General features: G+C 36.9%; 1 protein-coding gene across 7 annotated transcripts in view, besides 1 other annotated feature; it reads left to right on the top strand.

The window, feature by feature from the left end:
- The window catches only part of FSIP1 (fibrous sheath interacting protein 1), a 185,402-nt gene that overhangs the window by 105,646 nt on the left and 59,696 nt on the right, over positions 1-20,060 (top strand). The window lies entirely within an intron of this gene.
- Positions 10,077-10,593: an enhancer, noted in NCBI's record as "NANOG hESC enhancer chr15:39958804-39959320 (GRCh37/hg19 assembly coordinates)". NCBI's record gives its function as "activates a minimal SCP1, AML or CMV promoter by ChIP-STARR-seq in primed H9 embryonic stem cells {active_cell/tissue: H9 hESC(primed)}" and the evidence as "EXISTENCE:reporter gene assay evidence [ECO:0000049][PMID:30033119]".

The following is a 20,060-nucleotide window of genomic DNA, read 5'->3' as shown; positions in this document are numbered from 1 at the left end:
TTGCATTTAATGAATCACATACGTAATGGTTTTTGACATTATTGATCCAAAAAACCTAATTCATTTCGATATCCTTATTTCTGTAACAAGGAATTTGTCTACCTTTGTACCATATTCTCATTTCCATAGTTTTATGGGGGCTTCCTTAACTGCCCTCTCCTAGTGTCTTGATACTTTCTGCCACTCACAAATAGAACACTACTCTGACACTTGCAACAGTTAATTAAGAACTCAACTCATATTGTTTAAAACTATCTTACCACTATTTTGTTCTTTATCAAAGGCAGAAAAGACACTAATTTTATGCGTATTCTTTATCAGTGTGGATAAGTCATGTAAGAATGGAATCTAAATACCTATAGTAAGTGAAAACTCATGGTAATCCTGTTACATTTAATTTTACAGATTCTCCAGCATCTGCTATGTACTTCCTTAATATTTAGGACAGGAAGAGCAGATTTTCCAGTTTTCAGGACAATAGGCTGAGTGGCTACATCTCTATATATGTATAACTACTATACTAAATATCTGGCTATTAAAGACAGTTGTTTATTATCAGAATATGCTAATGACATTTAGGAGGGGAAAAAACTCATTTTTAGTATATTCTGAGAGTTGGGAAGGCAAATGTGCCTTTCACGGAGCACTGAGCTGCTCCGTGAACACACAGTCTTCAGGAATATATCCAGAGCACACAGTCTTCAGGAATAATTATTCTATTCACTGCTCAATAGGTTTCTCACATGTGAAGGCTGCCAGGCTCCTCTGGCTTCTAATTTAGGAGCTAAAGAGATTTCCTTACTGGGCCCAAAAATTATCTTTAAGCAAATGTATGACCTTATTCACTCAAAAATGGTCACAGATGGACACTGTATTGTGGCAAGATGAATGATGTGACTGAGCTGTTTTCCAGAGTGTGCTTTTTCAGGATAATACACCTAGTATTTTTCTGGTCCACTAGTTTCTCAAGACTCTTTATGACTGAGTGTATGAGGTATGATATTCATTTTTTTTTTTTTTTTTGAGATGGAGTCTCACTCTGTCACCCAGGCTGAAGTGCAGTGGCGCGATTTTGGCTCACTGCAACCTCCGCCTTCCGGGTTCACGCCATTCTTCTGCCTCAGCCTTTCAAGTAGCTGGAACTACAGGCACACACTGCCACGCACGGCTATTTTTTTTTTTTTTTGTATTTTTAGTAGAGACAGGGTTTCACCGTGTAGCCCAGGCTGGTCTCGAACTCCTGAGCTCAGGCAATCCACCTGCCTCAGCCTTCCAAAGCGCTAGGATATTCATTCTTAAGTGAGCAGGCAAACTATTCCTAATAAATAATGAGAGAGGGTGTAATATCTACTGCTGTACAGTTGTGGTTTTATCTATTTGCATCTCACTTCATCTTGATGAAATGCAGAACTTTATCACATGAAATAAGTGAAGGAGACTGCATATGACACCATGGAAATTCTGGAGGTTTGTACTTTTAAGATCAGTTTTTATTGAGGTAGGGATTTCAGTTTGATTGTTACGTTGATCCCTGGTTTAATATATCCTTACATTTTATATTTAAGTTTATATTTGATAAAAGAGTATCTTGGTATTGGTCATCTTTCAGGAGTTAATTTTTCAGTCTGTATTATGCTGCCAAGATCTATCTATATTTTTGTATGCAGTGGTGCACCCTTTTTTAGGACTGTATAACATTCCATAGTGAGAATGTACCTAAATTTATTTCTGCATTTTCTCAAATAGACATTTGGGTTATTTTCAGATTTTCGTTATGAATGCTACTGTGATAAACATTCTTGTACATGTTATCTGCTCTACATGTACAAAATTTCCTCTAGTTTTCACAGAGGAATGGCATTTCACAGAGGAATGGCACAGAGGAATGTATATATACAGATATAGAGTATCTGAATGTTATAAGATAATGCAATAATGCCTTCCAAAGTAGTTGTACCAGTTTACATTCCTACCAGCAATATTTAAGAAATCTGGTTCATCCATATTCTCTTGAAACACTGGCTACTATCCGACTTAAAAATTTTTGCCAATTATGTGAGTTTATAATTGATGTGCATTTCCCTGATCACTAATGAGGTCAAATATTTATTCAAATACTTATGTCTAATATATTCCACCCCCCCTTTAAAAAAAAAGCCTATTCATGTCTTTTGCCCAGTTTTTTTTGAATTGTCTGAGTTTTTCTTGTTATTATAGAAGTTCTTTATATATTCTTGATTCTAATCTTTTGGTGGTTATACAGATGGGAGCTATCCTCTCCCAGTTTGTAGCTTTTTTCCACTTTTTATAAGGTGACTTTTGATGGTCGTATGTCCTTGTTTTTAAAAGAGTCAAATTTACTAATACTGTATCTTGTTTTATAATGGGTACTTTTGTGTCTTTAAAAAATACTTTTTTATCAGATTCAGAAAGAAGTCCTTAAAACATATTTTCCACTAAACATTTTAAAGATATGCTTCTGATATTTTAAGTCCTTAATCCATCTGGAGTTAATTTTTGTGTAATGTAAAATGGAGGTTCAGTTTTCATTTTTATTCACATAAACTCACCATCTCTGTCATATATTAAAGTTATGCATATGTGTGGGATTTTTTTTTTTCTGGGCCCTCTTCTACTCCATAGGTCAATATGTCTCTCCCTGTCCAGAGTTAGATTGTCTTAGCCTTGTAAGAAATGCTGATATCTGATAGGGTGCAGGTCCCCTCCTTGCTTTTCGTTTTCAAAAGTATCTTGGCTGTTTTACCATGTGAATTTTAAAATCACCTTCTCAAGTTCCATGAACGACCCATGTACGATTTTGACTAGAATTGTACTTAATTTTGGCCGGATGCAGTGGCTCACGCCTGTAATCCTAGCACTTTGGGAGGCCGAGGCGGGCGGATCACAAGGTCAGGAGATCAAGACCATCCTGGCTAACACGGTGAAACCCTGTCTCTACTAAAACTACAAAAAATTAGCTGGGTGTGGTGGTGGGTGCCTGTAGTCCCAGCTACTTGGTAGGCTGAGGCAGGAGAATGGCATGAACCCGGGAGGCGGAGCTTGCAGTGAGCCGAGATCGCGCCACTGCACTCCAGCCTGGGCGACAGAGCGAGACTCTGTCTCAGAAAAAAAAAAAAAAATTAAATCGGGTCGGGTTAAGGATGTTCCCTTCTCTATACTTAATTTACTAAAGTTTATATCAGGGATTTATATAAAATTTTATTAAATGCTTTTATGAATCTATTTATATGACATCCTTTTTCTCCTTTAAACTTTTAATGTGTTAAAATTAAAACTAAAACTAAAAAAATGCTTTTAAGATATATACAAAATATATGATATATATATAGAAAAATAAGCCAATTATTATTATTCATGATAGCAGTTAATGCAGGTGGGTTGAAGAGAAACACTTGATAGGTGTAAATTTTTAATGTTCTAGTTCTTGTGTCAGGTGGTGGGTTCATGAGGGTGTATCGTATTATCTAAAACATACAAATACATGCATAAAATATAAATGATTAAATATAAAGGCAGGCCATGCATGGACCATTAAGGAGAGATAAATGTATGTGTTACGAGCCAGGCTCAATGGCTCATCTTCGTAATCCCAGTGCTTTGGGAGGCTGTGGCAGGAGGATTGCTTGAGGACGGGAGTCTGAGACAAGGCTAGGCAAACAAAGCGAGACCTCGTCTCTACCAGAAATAAAAAAAAATAACCAGGTGTGGTGGCGTGTGCCTGTGGTCCCAGCTACTTGGGAGGCTGAGGCAGGAGGATTCTTTGAGCCCAGGAGTTTGAGGCTGCAGTGAGCTATGATTGGGTCACTGTATTCTAGCCTGGATGACCAAGTGAGACCCTGGCTCTTAAACAAAAAGCATATGTGTTACGAACTAAGGATTATGATTAATCTAACTTTGTAGTTAAAAAAGGAAATTTGATATTTGCTTTTATGAGACTGTGTTGCGTTTACTCCTAGGTTAGTAAAAAGAGAATTTTAAAAAATGTCCGTATTTGTTCTTCATTGTTATTCTTAAAGTTTCTCTTTTTCAGAAACCTTTTGGGCAGTTTTTGGTTGTGAGACTTGATGTCATGACTGACATATGCGTTAGAGTCCATACGTTCTAGGACTGACAAGTTCCGTGATTATCCTGTGGTCTCAGTTGTTTGATCTTAAAATTACCAGATGATTAATGGCCCTCATTTTAGATTGACACTTTGTGCGGAATGTTCTGTAGAAGGCCTGACCATTTCTTCTGGTTTTTTAGGCCACATAGTTCTGTATTGAGCATGCCATGAGTTTCCATCCTACCCCATCTCATCCATCTGATTCCATCATGTAGTGGTTTTGTATGAGGCTTCTAGCTTGTTGGGAGGACACTTGGAACAGATTACAGTGATTATGAACATTTGGAATGAAACAGACTTAGATTCTAATTTTGGCTCTTCTCCTTACCAGCTATGTGGTCTTCAGAAATTTTAATAACTACCGTGAGTTATCTGAAAAATCTGTGTGATATTACCTCTGAGGTTGTTGTGTTAAAGTGTATCTTTATTACTATTATTATTATATCGCCATCAAATATAATTAATTTTTGCATTTCCAAGTATACTGGATGCACTTTCAAGCCACTGATCTGATTTTCCCTTGAGTGTACTCAAGGTGCCAATTGCTTTAATTCCTAAGTGTTATAAAGAACCGCAGTGCCAAAATATTCTTACCTCTTAGTTCTCAACCACTGACTCTTCTATCTTGTCTGTACTATTCCTGGAGAGAAGGGAGAGACAGTCAATAGTGTTGCTCACAGCCAAGCCCTTTCTAAGCATAGCTGACAGATGTAGGTGTTTGGGCTGATCACAATGTTGAGGACGACAGTAATCACAGCAATCGCCTCTTCATGGAGCACTGCTAAGGCAGCCGCTGTGCTGAATGCCCTACCCTCAGCATCTTGCTGGATTCTCACCGAATTCCCTAAAGCAGATCTTCATCTTGACGCCTTCATCTTGACACAGGGAAGCTGAGCTTGGACAGATTCAGCAACTAGCCCAGTGTCATACAATTAGTAATTGGCAAAATCAGGAGGTAGTCGCTAGTCTCCTTGACTCCAAAACCCACAGTCATAACCGCTGCTTATGCAAATGCTATTCCCCCAGGTCTTTATCTCTTCCTATATTTTCTGGATGCAGGAAAGTTTGTGGAACCTGTATCTGGTGAGACCTGGTGGGTAGGTGACTCTAGTTGGATTCTCTGTGCTCTTTGGGAAGGCTAGCTCCCTGCTGAGGCAACAGGTTCTGGAAACTTTGGGGGCTATTTGGTTATTTTGCACTGAAAATTAAATCTAAAATGATTTAATGATGAGAATGGTAACTTTGAGAGATTTTTGCATTATTCACTTTGGAGCAGGAATATTTAGATACGTGGGCTTCATGACTGTATTTTGGGTTTTTAAGTCAGAAAACTAGGAAGGTTTATAAAAACCTTTGGAAAATATCTGTTGCATGCTAAACTAAAGTGAGAGCTTAATAAAAATATGCATTAATGCAGGACTCCACTGCCCTCAGACTAAGCACAAGAGATCTCTGTTGAACCTTGGGAAAAATAAACTTACTCCCTTGGCATTTATGAGGGTGGCACTAAAATTTGGTGGTTGCGCCCAGGAGTGGGGTAGTAGCATAGAATGAAAACAGTCTGCAGGAGCCTTCAGGTTTTTTAAAATATAACCAAATTAAACATTAACATAGTCTTCATATAATTAGTCTCTGATTCCCTCATTCCACACAGTTGGTTTTCTTTTTAAAAAAAATCAACATAAAAAGATAGTTTACTTTTCTCCTTTTATCAAGTATTTAATTCATCATAATGAACTAAAGGATAAAATAATAAAATTTTCTGTTTAAAATTGTTTGGGAGTGATGGAAAACGTGAAAAAAAATTATTTTCTTCTCTGGAACACCAAAAAATTGACAAATAAATTTTAGGAAGAATTGTTAAATTTTGCCTTTTGCCCTTCTGCTAGTTCCCTACCTTAATCCAGTTAATATAAAATGCTCAAAAAGCGATTATCATTCATCTTTCAACTTGATGAACAAGTATTTTCTTTGCAAATGAAGTATGTCCTGTAAATGATTACACATTAATAAAAACAAGAATCAACCTGATTTGTTTTAACACCTCTATTTCTCTGCAGGAGGTAGCATTTTTCTGTCAGTTTGTCAAGTGTTATTTTTTCAGCCTCCCTCTGGCCTGAGTGGTATATATGTGGTTTGGTTTTGAATTTAGTGAAGAATATGACTGAATTCTAAAATGAAAAATAGTATCATACTTCTCAGATTTTGCTTATAAAAATGTTGCGTAAGTGCTTACGACACCTTTAGAAGTTTGTGACTCTCCAGAATTTCTGTGGCATTCCTAAACACTCAGTATTTACAATGAATGTTAAGTGATTGGTAACATTTGAATGACATGCAGTATAACATGGCAGCCCTATTGGGCTTTCCATTTGGCAGTCTTAGTAAGACAGCAGTTGACCAAAACCTGGCAGCTGTTTCTGCCTATGAAATAAGTAGGGTTCAACATTCCAGGCTGACCTTTCTTCAGTATTCTTTTGGACACCATTAAGAAAATAATATTGAGGCTGCAGTGAGCTATGATCGCACCACTGCACTCCAGCCTGGGCTACAGAGCGAGACTCTGTCTCTAAAAAAAGAAAAAGAAAAAGACAAAAGAGAGAAAATAATCATGAATCTTTTGTTTGCATCTAATATATGGTTCTTTTCATTTATTTTTAATATGTAGGAGTATATTTTTTGCCATTTCTTAAGTGTAGGGATCTTTTGGCAGAATTTGTTTCCTGCATTCCTGTTTCTGTTCACCAAGCAAGATAACCACTATCGGAATAGCTCTGCCTACCCAGACATTGACTGGCACATAGTTGGTGCTCACTAAATAATATTTGAATGAATACATTCTGGACGTTGAATGAAAGGACCTTTTGGGCTCTATGCATATCTGATTCAGTGGTCATATTATTTAGGGGTTTAGAATGACCATTTCACTTGTTATCACCACTATCCATGTAATGTTTTAAAACTTATCCTCACTTGGATAGCTTAAAATTACAGTCTTTAAACATTACCTCCAGATTTAGATAAAAGTAAAATTGTAGTGTTGGCTATAAGCAAGCAGAGAAATATATTAATTTCCAGTTTCCGGGAGGGTTGGAAGAAATACTTTTCCAGAACGAGCATGATTCCACTCTGATATGAGAACTAAATTAAGTGACACTAGTTGTATAAAGCTTTGGCAGTGGGCCTAATATCCCTTGTTGGTTTTATATGCATGCTGCTGGCTTTGCTGGCAAAAATGCTGGTTGTTAATTTATTGATGCCAAGCACTTATAGAACCAGCTTTGTGTAACACATTAAAAACTAGACTGAAATGTATTTGTTGTCACTGAAATGACACTCTAATTATATTAGATGTCCCAATTTAGTTTTATCCTTTAATTTTTAGCCTCATAACTTTCTTCCAAAGTTATCTGGGATAAAAACTTGAATGTTCAAACTTGGCATATAATTAAATTGAGATTAAAAAAGGCTATCAACTAGGACTTGATTTGTTTAAAATATGAAATAAAGATATCTTTCTGTTAATTAATAGAACAACTTCAAATCAAGTTACTCAACAGGCCTGTTCTTGGCACTTCAAATATGTAATTAAGTTTTATGATGACCTAGTTAATATCTCCAAAGTAAGAAAGCACAGTGTCATGGTTTGGGTTCTTTAGAAGCACTGCCAAGATAGAATTTGGGGTACAGGATGTTTATTAGGAATCATTACTTGTAAAAGGAAGGGGGAGGAAGCAGTTTTGGGTAGAGAGAGGAGCTGAACTGCCATGCAGGCCTGGCAAGCCTTGTGAATGCAGCAAGGGTTTCTAGTCAGTGGCGGCCTGTGTAGGCTGAAGTGGACAGCCCTTCTGTCACCCTTGTTCAGGGACTGAATATGGGCCACCTTGGAAAGTGGGAGAGCTCAGGCAAGCAGCACTCTGCAGCTGAGGCTGGCCCTAAGGTTGCTGCCTCCTGAAGGCTGTCTGCTGACCACCCACTCCACAGCTGGGCACAAAGGCCTTTCTTGAAGGGCATGGAGTGGCACCTCTCTGTGTCTACTGCTTAGAACTCTCATTACTAACAATAATACTCATAATTCATATACTTATATCATTATCTTCATCTGACCAACGAAAAAATAGAAGCAGAATACTTTGCTTAAGATCTTATGGTTAATTCTGGGCCACACTAGAAAGAATAACCTGTGTCTTATTCCTAGCTTTCAGCAAACTAACATCATGCTGCAGTGGACGTATTTATTATTTTTAAATGGGTGGCCAGTCAATATATGTGAAGAAAAAGCGAGGCGAAGGAATTGTAGCTACTTGAGAACTAGTGTGGTAAGCAAGCAAGGAAAGGCTGGGTTTAGATTCCAACTGACCTGATCTCCCAGTTCATGTTCTCTCTGGCTCTGTGACCAGACAAGTGACACGGTCACTCTGACCTCTAGGGAGCTGATCTGGCAATAAAAGGAATGAAGTTGGCATGTCATTTAAATAGTGTAGATGAAACATAGTATGGCACCTGGTGTTCATAGCAGGAAACACAATATAGGCTAATTTTCTTAAATACCCAAAAGAAGTCAAGCTGCAAAATGCTGGTTAGAGACATGAAAATTTCAACTTGAAGACAGAGAGAATTTTTCTCCCTAGTATTTTTCCTTTGTATCCTCTTATTCCTTTAGTGTCGACATATTAAGATATGAGTTGACAGATTTTTGTTCTGGAGAAATTGCTTCTGCAAGGTGGGTCCACTCCAGACAGACCTGGGGAGGGGACTTCACAAAAAAGGCGAGGAAGAAGGAAGAAGCATGGAATGAAGAAGATTAACTGAATCAACAAATATTCATGGAATGCTTATTACGGGCCAGGTTTTTTTTTTTTTTTTGGAAATTTAATGATATAGTTCATTAGAAGATCATCAAAAGTACTGTATCTGAGATCATTAAAAACGGCCCACTTCTCTCTTTTCCATTGCCACCCTCTTGGTTTAGGCTACCATTATTATCCTAAGTTTACTGCAATAGGCCAGCCACTGTTTTCCTCCTGTCTGCTGTAGGTTTATTTTCAACCCCGTTCTTCACTCTACAGACATTCTGGTCATGTTATTCTCTGCTTCTCAGGACTTTAATAAAGCCTGAAAGACTAGACATGAACTGTGGCCTAGCACCCACCAGCCTCAACTTTCACTAGTTACATTACTAGACACCAACCCTCAACACCTGCCTTTTCAAACTCACTAATTCCTCTGACAGGCTTTGCCCCTCTTGCTTCAGGCCTTTGCCTAAATTGATTTCTAATTTTGGAATGTCCTTTCCCTTTCCTTTTATGCCTGGTTAACTTCCACTTGGTGTAAACATTTCTCCCTTTGGGAAAGCTTTCCCTGATCCCTGGAATAGATTGGGTCTCTCTCTCTCACTCTCCCGCTAAGACTGCCTCCTAGAACTGCTCATGGGAGGTAATAATGTGTTCCTTTGTGTGATTGTCTGTTTCCCTCAGCAAGCTTCAGCTCCAGAAGGGCAGTGACTGGGTCTGTTTCGGCTTACAGTTGCCAAGCACGGTCCTGACACAGAGTAGGGATCTGATAAGTCTTTTTGAATAAAGGGCTTAAAAGGGTCACACAATCCTCTTCTGATAAGCCTATGCTTTCCATCTCACTCCTGGGGGCATCTAAGGATAGACAGAGACCGGTGTAAATCCCACTTAAGTCAAGCTCTACATGTGCTACCAGAGACTAAGAACCAGGCCTTTACTCTGATGTCTACACTTAAATTCTTTTTTTAAGCTTTGTACTCTTCATGATATTATAGTGTATGCTGTTGTGTCATGTTAAAAAAAACTCATGGTACTTTTGATTTATTAAAAAAATTATTTTCTTTAATCAAGTCATTGAGTTATGAGAAGTGATAACCTTTAAATGTAATATCAGTTTTCTAATGCAGCAGTTTATTTGGAGGGGGAAGGGAAAGTCAAGCACTCGTCCATGTTTGTCCTCAGAGCTCTCCTGATCAATGGTTTTTCCTTGAACCACTAGGCCATCTTTTCACAGCGCCCACTGTCTTGTGATAGTAAGGAAGAGCTGAGAAGCAGATTTAGGGTGGAGCTGAAGAATGGTAATCTCTAGAGTTTGCTTACAAGAGCAGATGTAAACCTCACAGTCATAAGTGTGCTTCTTGGCTATTTTATGCTGGTATGAGTTCAGGCTGGCCTACTTTAAAATGGACATCTATTTTTATAGGAAACTCATGGAATGTCTGGAATTCTGCTTAGAAAAAGGAATCTGCATCCTGCTGTGAAGGAGCAAAGTACTTGCTTTTTGTTAGTTGTGGTCTTAAGACTTCAATTCCAAAGGCATCCTAAAAATTGGACTTGATTGACTCTGAAGTTCAGTGCTGCCGCTAAGAAAACACGAGAACACTTAGATGTGGAGCAGCTGAAAATGAGGGACTCTGTATAGTTTGAAAAATTAAAAAATTTGGGTTCATTCACTTTGATAGTGTGATTTAACTGGTTATTTTGTCATTCTGTTTTATTTTGAAACTATTTACTTTATGAAGCTTTCCATATGAATATTTATTTTCACTATGAAAAAATTTAAACAATTGGGAGTTTAGTTATTACCTCTGTGACATTCTAGTACTTCCTATAAATAAGTGCCTGAACGAATGGATGAAAAAATAGTTCATAATCATTCATGCAAATAACAATATTGAAATCATAATAGGAATAACTTTATTTGGAACCTTTTCTTATCTTTTTCATGTCACTGTTAAAACTACTTCTTGTAAATTGCGGACTTATAGATAATGTTAGTCTTTCCAAGTCTTGAATATGCCATTCTGCCATATCTGCTAGCCAGAAACTCGGCTGGCTAGATTTTTAGTCACACACAAAGGTTTATCTTATTTTGTTTTTCAGCATAGTTCACCATTTTCACTTTAAGGAAACACAGAATGACAGATCGACATAGTTGATTAACGCAGAGTTTCTTGCTTCACTGTTTATACCCTTTATTATTAACCAGAGGCTCCAAATTGCTGATGCCGTATTTTATTTAATTTTTAAGTTTACTGGGGTTAATAAGTAAGTGAGATTCTTCTAACAGTTTCACTTTCCACATTGTGAATATAATCTCTCTGGGAAATATAAGAATCCAAGAAAAAAAGGAAATTAGGTGTTTTTCTTGCTTGATCATTATCTTGTAAGAATCTACAGAGAAAAGCAGCTCTTGTACTCTGAGGGAGTTTTCTTCAAGTGGCTTTTGTTCAGCTCTCTGTGGTATAGCCCAGAAGAAAACCTGTTTGTTCTTTTAATAGCTCCACCCACCCCTGCACTTTTATTCAGTATAATTAATTAAAACTTTACTCTTCTTTTACTAATAGACAAAATTATCAACTACTTCCATAATAATAAAAATCTTGAAATCTATGGATGTGGGTTGGTGGGAAATGAAAGCTCTTTTTGGTGTTGGTAAGATAAAGAGTAGTTAATTGACTTTGCCACTGCCTTAGTCTGTGACCTTGGGGAAAAACCATTTTCCGTTTTCTCATTACAAACTTAGACTATCTTTCCATTAAATTAGTGTTAAGTGGTACCCTGCTTGTCTACTTCATGACTAAATAACTTCTGCAAGTAAAGAAAAGTAATATTTTGTTATTTATTAAATAGGTATTTTATCTTACATATTTCTTTTGAAAAAGTAGGGGATGAGTTAGAAATCAATTCATAAAGTAGTTTGGACTTTCTCCTCAGTACAGTTAAAGAAACTCTCTTGAGCTCATTCAGGCATTGATTTAGGATCTAATAACCGATAAATAAGGCAGTCGTTCCTCTTAAGTACCTTGTTTTATAGTGTGGAATGAGAATCGGAGTTAGGAAGAATGTATATAAAAATGTCTCTTCTGTGTTGTAGGAGGGATTCAAATGTTATGGGAGCCCAAAAGATGTAGTAATTAATTTTCCCTGGATGCAGCTGGGGTCATGCTAATGAATGAAGCTTTCGATGGGAGTGGTGGGAGAAGGGGAAGGCTTAATAGAAGATAGGACTTGCAACAAATATTTAAGGAATTTTTATTTCACAGCTCCAAAAATGGACACCCTTGCATGTGTTAGACAGCCAGGTGAACAAGATAATGTCTGTGCTCTCATGGAGCTTATATTCTAGTGGGAGGAAATAGCTACATTAAAAAATTAGGTAGTATTTTTACAGTTAGAGAGGAGGGAGATCACTTCCAGGCATCCCTGCACTTTCTTCCCTAGGATGGGTCTTTTGTGCTTTGAGGAAGGTCGACAGCACATGTAGGGGAGCTTAGTATTGTTTGGAGAGAGGGACATCTCTCCCTGGTAATAGGAGGGGGCAAAGGGACACTGGAAATGGATGCTCCAAGGTTTGTAACTTGATGGTGGGGATTGGGGGAGCTCTTACCTAAAGGGTTTTGTTTTCCCAGTGAAATGTAAGGTCATCATCTGAGATTGGGGTCAGGTGTGTGTGTTGGGGTGGTTGAAGGAGAGAAGAGCAGGTATTGGGGTGGCGATAATGAATCTAAAATAAAATACATTCGCTTGCTTATGTGATTTTTCTCTATGAATATTCAGCTCCTTGGCTACAGGTTGATTGCTGGATTTTGCTGTAGTCCTAAAGGAATGAGCTTTGGCTTGGCTGTAAATAAATATGATGAATGGATGGATTCTAGACCAATTTTATATAGGTCTGAGGGAACTTAAATTTTTCTTTTAAAAACCCCTTAAAATGTGCTCATTTAGCCAAAATTTTAGCAGATTTCTTAATTCTAATTCTTTTCAAGCATAAAGAATTTTGCAATTTGACATTAAAAATATGACTCACTCACTTTTCAATTGACTTATCAATTCATTAGTTGCTTTTCTAAGTAGAATAAATTACCTTAGGTGAAACAGCTATTGCAGAATATTTTTAGTTGTTGAAAACTAACATAATTTTAGTAGTATTAAAAAAACCTGCTTTCTTGCCAGTGCTGTCTAAATGTGAAGACCCTTCCCCCACCCACCCTGGCTGGTTATGCTGCGGGATGTACTGCTCTCTGCATTTGTTTCTTTTAACAGCCCTTTAATGTTTTCAATTCAAAAAGCTTTTAGTTACCATTAGGAATGGATCCAAAATCAGTGACAGAAATTAATAAACAATACCTTGGAGCAATGCTTTGTTACATTCCATTGCACAATATCTATCTGCATGAAATTCTTTTCTTGCCGATGAAGTAGAGTTTAAATAGAGCATAGGATCACTGAATAATGCCTGTAAGAAACATTTTAAAAACCTAGTTGTCCCTTTGAGACTTTTGTCTATTTCCTTTTTTATCTCCCCTTGGACAGTATTTTATCCTGGAACTTAATTCTGCAACCCCTTTTGTTTCACACCTTATTTTTCTCAATACGTTGCACATTGTTACTTCTGCCCAAGTTACCTTCAATGAAAATGGTTTAGTCCATTTTCATTCCTAACCTTATATTATAAGGCTGTATTATGATTGTGCCAAGTACAGTTCCTATTGTTTTGATTTGAATATAACTGCAGCTACCATAGAGGTCTAAGGGAATTTTCATTACCTTCCCTTTACTCCATGTTGGAATTAAATCGGACTGGGTATTGAGTTGGATATATTTACCGTAGATTTGAATACACATAGACAGATATAGAGGTTATTTGTATCTGTTTAGATACAATTAAGATTTATATACTATTTATATTTATATCTTATGTTCTCTGGGGAGTACATTTCTTCCCTTGTGATATCAATTATTTGTGGTGTACTTAGAAATTCAACGTTGGCGAATCTGTAGATTTTGTTGAAAACATATACACAAGTGTCAGTGGGTTTAATAATGTGCGCTACTCGTTTTCAAGTAGGAAAAAGTCGAATTAAATTTTGTCACTATTATATGGTATTTAGAGGATTTGAAAACAACAATAATAGATAACAATAATAAACAACAATAGACCAGTAAGGGATTTTTTATTTTGCACATTATGAATCTTGTTATTTTGGGCAGAATTAATTTTTTCAGAAGAAAATTTTAAACAAGGAAGCTTGTTTGAGTTTAGCAAGGTTGCTGTCTAAGATTATGCTTTGAATATGTCATTTTGGGTTTTTGCTAGTTTTTTTGCCAGTGAGAAAATGCATAGAATATACAGGACAGTAATGCTTTAGCTGTATTTTGATTTATGGTCTCTTATTTTATGACATTATATTCGTTTATATATGCAATTAGAAGTGAATTGTTTGCCTTTCCTGAGTGCTATTTAATAGGATTCACACTTGCATTCTGTTACCAAATTAATGGACTTTCTTTTAAAGTTAATACAAAGCATTAATTATAGTCTTTTTTTTTTTTTCAGTGACTTAGTGGGTTTTTCTTAACCTTACAGTCTAGTGTTGGATAGTAAGATAATCATCCCTATCCAGCTGAGGCAGAAGGAAGTCGATTTGATTTCTCAGTACTGTTGAGTGTGGAAGGCTAGAGAAGACCTCACTGCTGATTAATGTATCCACCTCATTATTTTTCATTGAGCAACATTGTGCAAATTAATTGAGAGTTGCAGGGCCTGTGACTACATATCCTTAATTTCCAGAACATCTGTTACTTCAAAACATCTTACCTGCTAAATCTTTCCGCCTCCTTTTTTGGGTAGATAATGGAACTATAAAAGAACTCTTCTAAAGAACTCTTCTGGGTGCTGGGTTTTCAACTTCTCTAAACTTTATACTTGTAGCTAAACTTTAAAACTTTATAATTTTGGGGGGCTTGATTACATTTATTTTAGGTATGGCACATCTAGACTCCTGCTAACCAGTATAACTTTATTAATTAATATTTTAAAATAATACAACTTGCCTAGTTTTTTGCTTGGGTGCCTTTGAATAATGATCTTCCTCCCCTCCTCACAGCCCTTTCCCCCACTCCAACTATAGCCAGAAAGAGAGGTGAAAGCAGTTGAACATTAGAAAAGAAGTCTTTTAATGTGGTAGTTAACTGTATTTCTGAAAACTAGATACTGCCCTGCTTCTAGTTAGTCCTGTGACTCATTCATTTGTGTTATAGTTCTCTTCTGGGGGTGATCTAATAATTTTTCAAAGACATTCTGGCCTGTCCAAGAATATAACCTTTACAATGTTTATGCTGTATTAGAAGGTGTTAATGGAATGCAGGAGAGCAGGCTCCTGAATGGCTGATTAACTAATATTTTTATATCCTCAAGTAATGTTAAAACCATGCAGTCTTAGTGGAAAAAAAGAGTGACTTCCAGCTGGGCAGAACTCTACTTGATATGACCCAAAAATTAATATGTGTGGTTAGGAAGCTGTATCTCTTATAGAGGCAGTTTTACTCTGGTGTATGACTTGAGGGAAAGAATAAGGTAATAAAGTTAATTAGTTCTGCAATCTATAACCAAACCCATAGTGCTTTGGGACTAGATTGTCATATTTTCAGCATTTTGGGCAAAATGAATTTCCACTCGTACTGTCCAGAAAAATACCTGGTCATCTTTGAATTCAAGGTGAATGAACCAAATCCATTTGGAATTATTTTCTAATTTTCATATAATTCATATTTTTTCTTAATGTAATCATGTTATTAGGTCCTAGTATAAAAAATGATCCAAGTAATAAGATTGTACAAAATAATCTGGGATTAATTTAAGTGGTAAACTTTTACATTAGCTAAGCTAGGCTCAGATGAGTCAAAATTTGTAGCAGATGCTCTGCTTCCCAATTATCTGTCCAGATCTATTGTATACAGAAAGCCATCTCATCATTTGGATGTGACGTAAGTAGAAGTTAACCCTGTTCTATATATTGAAATAGAGTTTGTTAAGAAAATAAATGGGAGAAAAAATTGCCAGGGAAATATGTAGCTCCTTAATATTTTGAAGTCCCTAGTTTGCATACCAACAATCTAGTGTGTTTTTCCACTAGAGACGTCAAAAGCTGTTCAAATGGTTAATTTTCTAATTATTGCATTTATTTATTGATTTATTTATTTATTTTATTGGAGACGCAGTCTCTCTCTGTTGCTCAGGCTGGAGTGCAGTGGTGTGATCTTGGCTCACTGAAACCTCCATCCCTGGGTTCAAGTGATTCTTCTGCCTCGGCCTCCTGAGTAGCTTGGATTACAGGCGTGCGCCACCATTTCCAACTAATTTTTATAGTTTTAGTAGAGATGGGGTTTCACCATTTTGACCAGGCTGATCTCGAACTCCTGACCTCAGGTAATCCACCTGCCTCAACCTCCCAAAGTGCTGGGAAAATCACAGGTGTGAGCCACCATGCCCAGCCAATTATTGCTTTAAGATTAAGGTGTCTACTTCACATAAGAAAATTCACTAAACTTTAGCATGAAGATATTAAAAATTTAGATAATACTAATTTCCAGTTTTCTTTTTCTAAATAAATAAAATGTTACTCTAAATAATCTTTTGTTTTAACCAAGTAAGTTCTTACTTATGTACTTTATCTTTTGGACTTTTATCAGCCATTTTTCATTTAAGCTAGAAAGTGCATTAATGTTACTGAAATCTGCCAAAAGTTACTTGCTGATTGAAGAAATCTAATTGTAAGATTTATAATCAAGAAATTGATCCATTGACTTATATTCAATTAAAACTGTTACAACATCATAAATACTCAGTGATCTCTCCTCCCCCTACCCTTTTCTGATAATTCAATTCAGCTAACCTTTCTTGAGCCTTATTTGAATGTCGTGTGGGCTAGAGAATATATAAAAACTGCCTGCATTTACTGAGTGCTTCTGTCTGGGAGGAGATTGTTCTTCCTCTCTCTAGGCATGGGGACAGAACTCAAGGACATGTTGCCCCTTTCTTCACCCTCTCTAGCCTCACCTAGAAGGTGGGGCTGCTAATCCACTGGTTGAAACTACGGGCAACAGTGTGCTACGTTTTACTTACTACGTTGTCAAGGCAGAAATACAGGCCCCTCCTTCTCTCTTTCCTCTCTCAATCCTAGGGCATGCTGGTCATTCTTGCCCCTGGAGTTAGTTGGAGGTTGGCCATTTTTCTGTTTTCCCATGGATGGGTACTGGTTTTGTGAGGATGGGAGAAGGGATAGAAGTAAAAAAGAAGTCACACTAAGTCTTGTGTTTATTTCATATTTTGAAATGATCCTTGGACTTAGAGATACTGCATATTTAGAAAACATTTCAGAAGTTCTTGCTGTCATAACAGTACCCAATGACACTGAATTTTCTACATTATTACGTTCCAATTTTAGAAGCAAAATTGCAATAAAAATTCCAGAATGAACATGTTATAGTGATATACACACTGACAAATCTCTCATATTTATTCCTGTAATTATTTTTATTTATTATATATGAGGAAATTAACCAGACACAAATAAAAACAGGCAAAAAGAGGCCAAGGAAGTTCAGGAAGGATTTGAAAAGCCATTGCTTTTTTTTTTTTTTTTTAAAATAACAGCTTTATTGAGATATAATTCAAATACAGTGAAGTTCACTTTTTAAAAAGTGTGCAATTCAGTGTTTTTTTTTTTTTTGAGGAGGAGTCTTGCTCTGTCACTCAGGCTGGAGTGCAGTGGCACGATCTCGGCTCACTGCAAGCTCCGCCTCCTGGGTTCACGCCATTCTCCTGCCTCAGCCTCCTGAGTAGCTGGGACTACAGGCGCCCGCCACCACGCCTGGCTAATTTTTCGTATTTTTAGTAGAGACGGGGTTTCACCATGTTAGCCAGGATGGTCTCGATCTCCTGACCTCTTGATCCGCCAGCCTCAGCCTCCCAAAGTGCTGGGATTACAGGTGTGAGCCACGGCGTCCAGCCCAGTGTTTTTTACTGTACTCACAGAGGGTACATCCTTCACCACTATCAAATACTGGAATACTTTTTTTACCCTCAAAAGAAACCTTATATCCATTAGCAGTCACTCCCCATTTCATGGCATAACCACTGATTTTTTTCTGCCTCTATGGATTTTCATAGCCTGGACATTTCATATACATGGAATTATACAATATGTGGTCTTTGGTGTTTAGTTTCTTTCACTAAACATAATATTTTCAAAGTTCATCAGTTCTGTAGCATGTATTAGTACTTCATTCCTTTTTATTGCCAAATAATATTTCATTGTATGGATATACCACATTTTGTTTACTCATTAGTCACTTGGACGTTTGGATTCTTTCCACTTTTTGGCGATTATGAATAATGCTGCTATGAACATTGGTATACTAATTTTCATGTGGACATGTTTTTAGTTATCTTGGGTGTATACCTAGGGGTGGAGTTTCTGGGTCATACGGCAGCTCAATGTTTTGCTTTTTGAAGAATCCATTGACTTTTAATACAACTTCTAAATAGGAAGCAGTCAAATATATGCAAGATTTTGGAATTAGATCATTCAGGATGAGCTACGTATTGCTATGTCTATCTTAAAAATCTTATCTTAGTACAACATTCTTATTTTGTAATTATAGAGAATTTAGGCAAACTTAAGTTATCTTTATTAAAGAAATAGATTATCATGTCTGTTTAGGCCAGTTGCGGTGGCTCACGCCTGTAATCCCAGCACTTTGGGAGGCTGAGGTGGGCGGATCACCGGAGATCAGGAGTTTGAGACCAGCCTGGCCAACGTGGTGAAAACCCGTCTCTGCTAAAAATACAAAAATTAGCTTGGCATGGTGGCAGGCACCTGTAATCCCAGCTACTCAGGAGGCTGAGGCAGAAGAATTACTTGAACCCAGGAAGCGGTTGCAGTGAGCTGAGATCGCGCCACTATACTCCAGCCTGGGTGACAGCGAGACTCCATCTCAAAAAAAAAAAAAAAAAAAAATCATGTCTGCTTAGGTTGAAAGATAAGTCAAATTTCCTTATATAATATTGGTTAATTTGCATTGATTATTCATATTTAGTTGCCTAAGATGGTAACCTGAAAACTAATGTTAATGGATTCTTCATTTTTTAAAGGACAAGCTAAAAAACACAGAATAAATATTAAAAGTTGTGGAAAGATAGTCACCCATTTTATTTTATGTTAAAAGTACACAGTTAATACTCTTGTTAAGTTGCAAATTAAGTTAGTGTCAGAGCGTTTTTGTATTGGCCATCCATCACAGGCCCTACTATATATGCTGTTCTCGAAGGAATGGCCCAAACCTTGAGGCATTTTTAGAATTTTTTGTTGATGACTTCTTTCCTGTGTATTTGTACAGTCATCCCAGTCTTTAGTAACTTTCTTTTTACCCTGAATTCATGATTTTTGACATCAGTCCACATTGCGGGCTATAATTTTTTATTAATATTGATTTTATGATCAGAGTGTAGAGACTTTGGTTGTTTTCATTTTTATGTCCTCCAGGATAAAACAATGGTGGCATATCCTGGGTGCTACCAATGTGTTTGTTTTATGAATAAGTGAAAGGATGAATGGAATTTGGCACTGTACCATATTAATTTCAAGAAGGAGGAATGGTGGGGTAACATTTTATTTGCTATTTTTATAAATAATATTTAAGCCTCCTCAAAAATGGGAAGTTCACTACTGCTTTAAAGGTGTGCCAAGTTTTTCTCCAAGAACAGAAGAAACGGAAAAATCAAGTAAAATTTTTTGCTTAAGATTAAGACAATAGAAATAAACATGTTGTTTTTGTTGGAGAGTGTTTTTGGGTCATAATATCAATCTAGCATGGTGACCATGTGGATCAAATATGATGTGTGTGAAGTCAGTTTGTAAATTGTGTAATCTTGTCCCTGATTTTTTCTTTGAACTTCTTTCCAAATTGAAGACATGAAGTCCTTGGTATGAAATAGATCTACACAGGAAGACTTAGTTGATTCTTTCTATTGATCCTGAGCTGGATTACTGCTTCCCTCTTTTCACTTAAGTGAGGTCTCTCACATGGAGAGTGAGCCTTGTCTCAGAGGGTAGCAAAGGTTCTGAGGTGTGGTG

This window comes from Homo sapiens, chromosome 15, assembly GCF_000001405.40.
Source record: "Homo sapiens chromosome 15, GRCh38.p14 Primary Assembly".
Lineage (NCBI taxonomy): Eukaryota > Metazoa > Chordata > Mammalia > Primates > Hominidae > Homo > Homo sapiens.
Note: the sequence above shows the minus strand (reverse complement) of the source record. Positions and strands in the feature narration are given on the sequence as shown.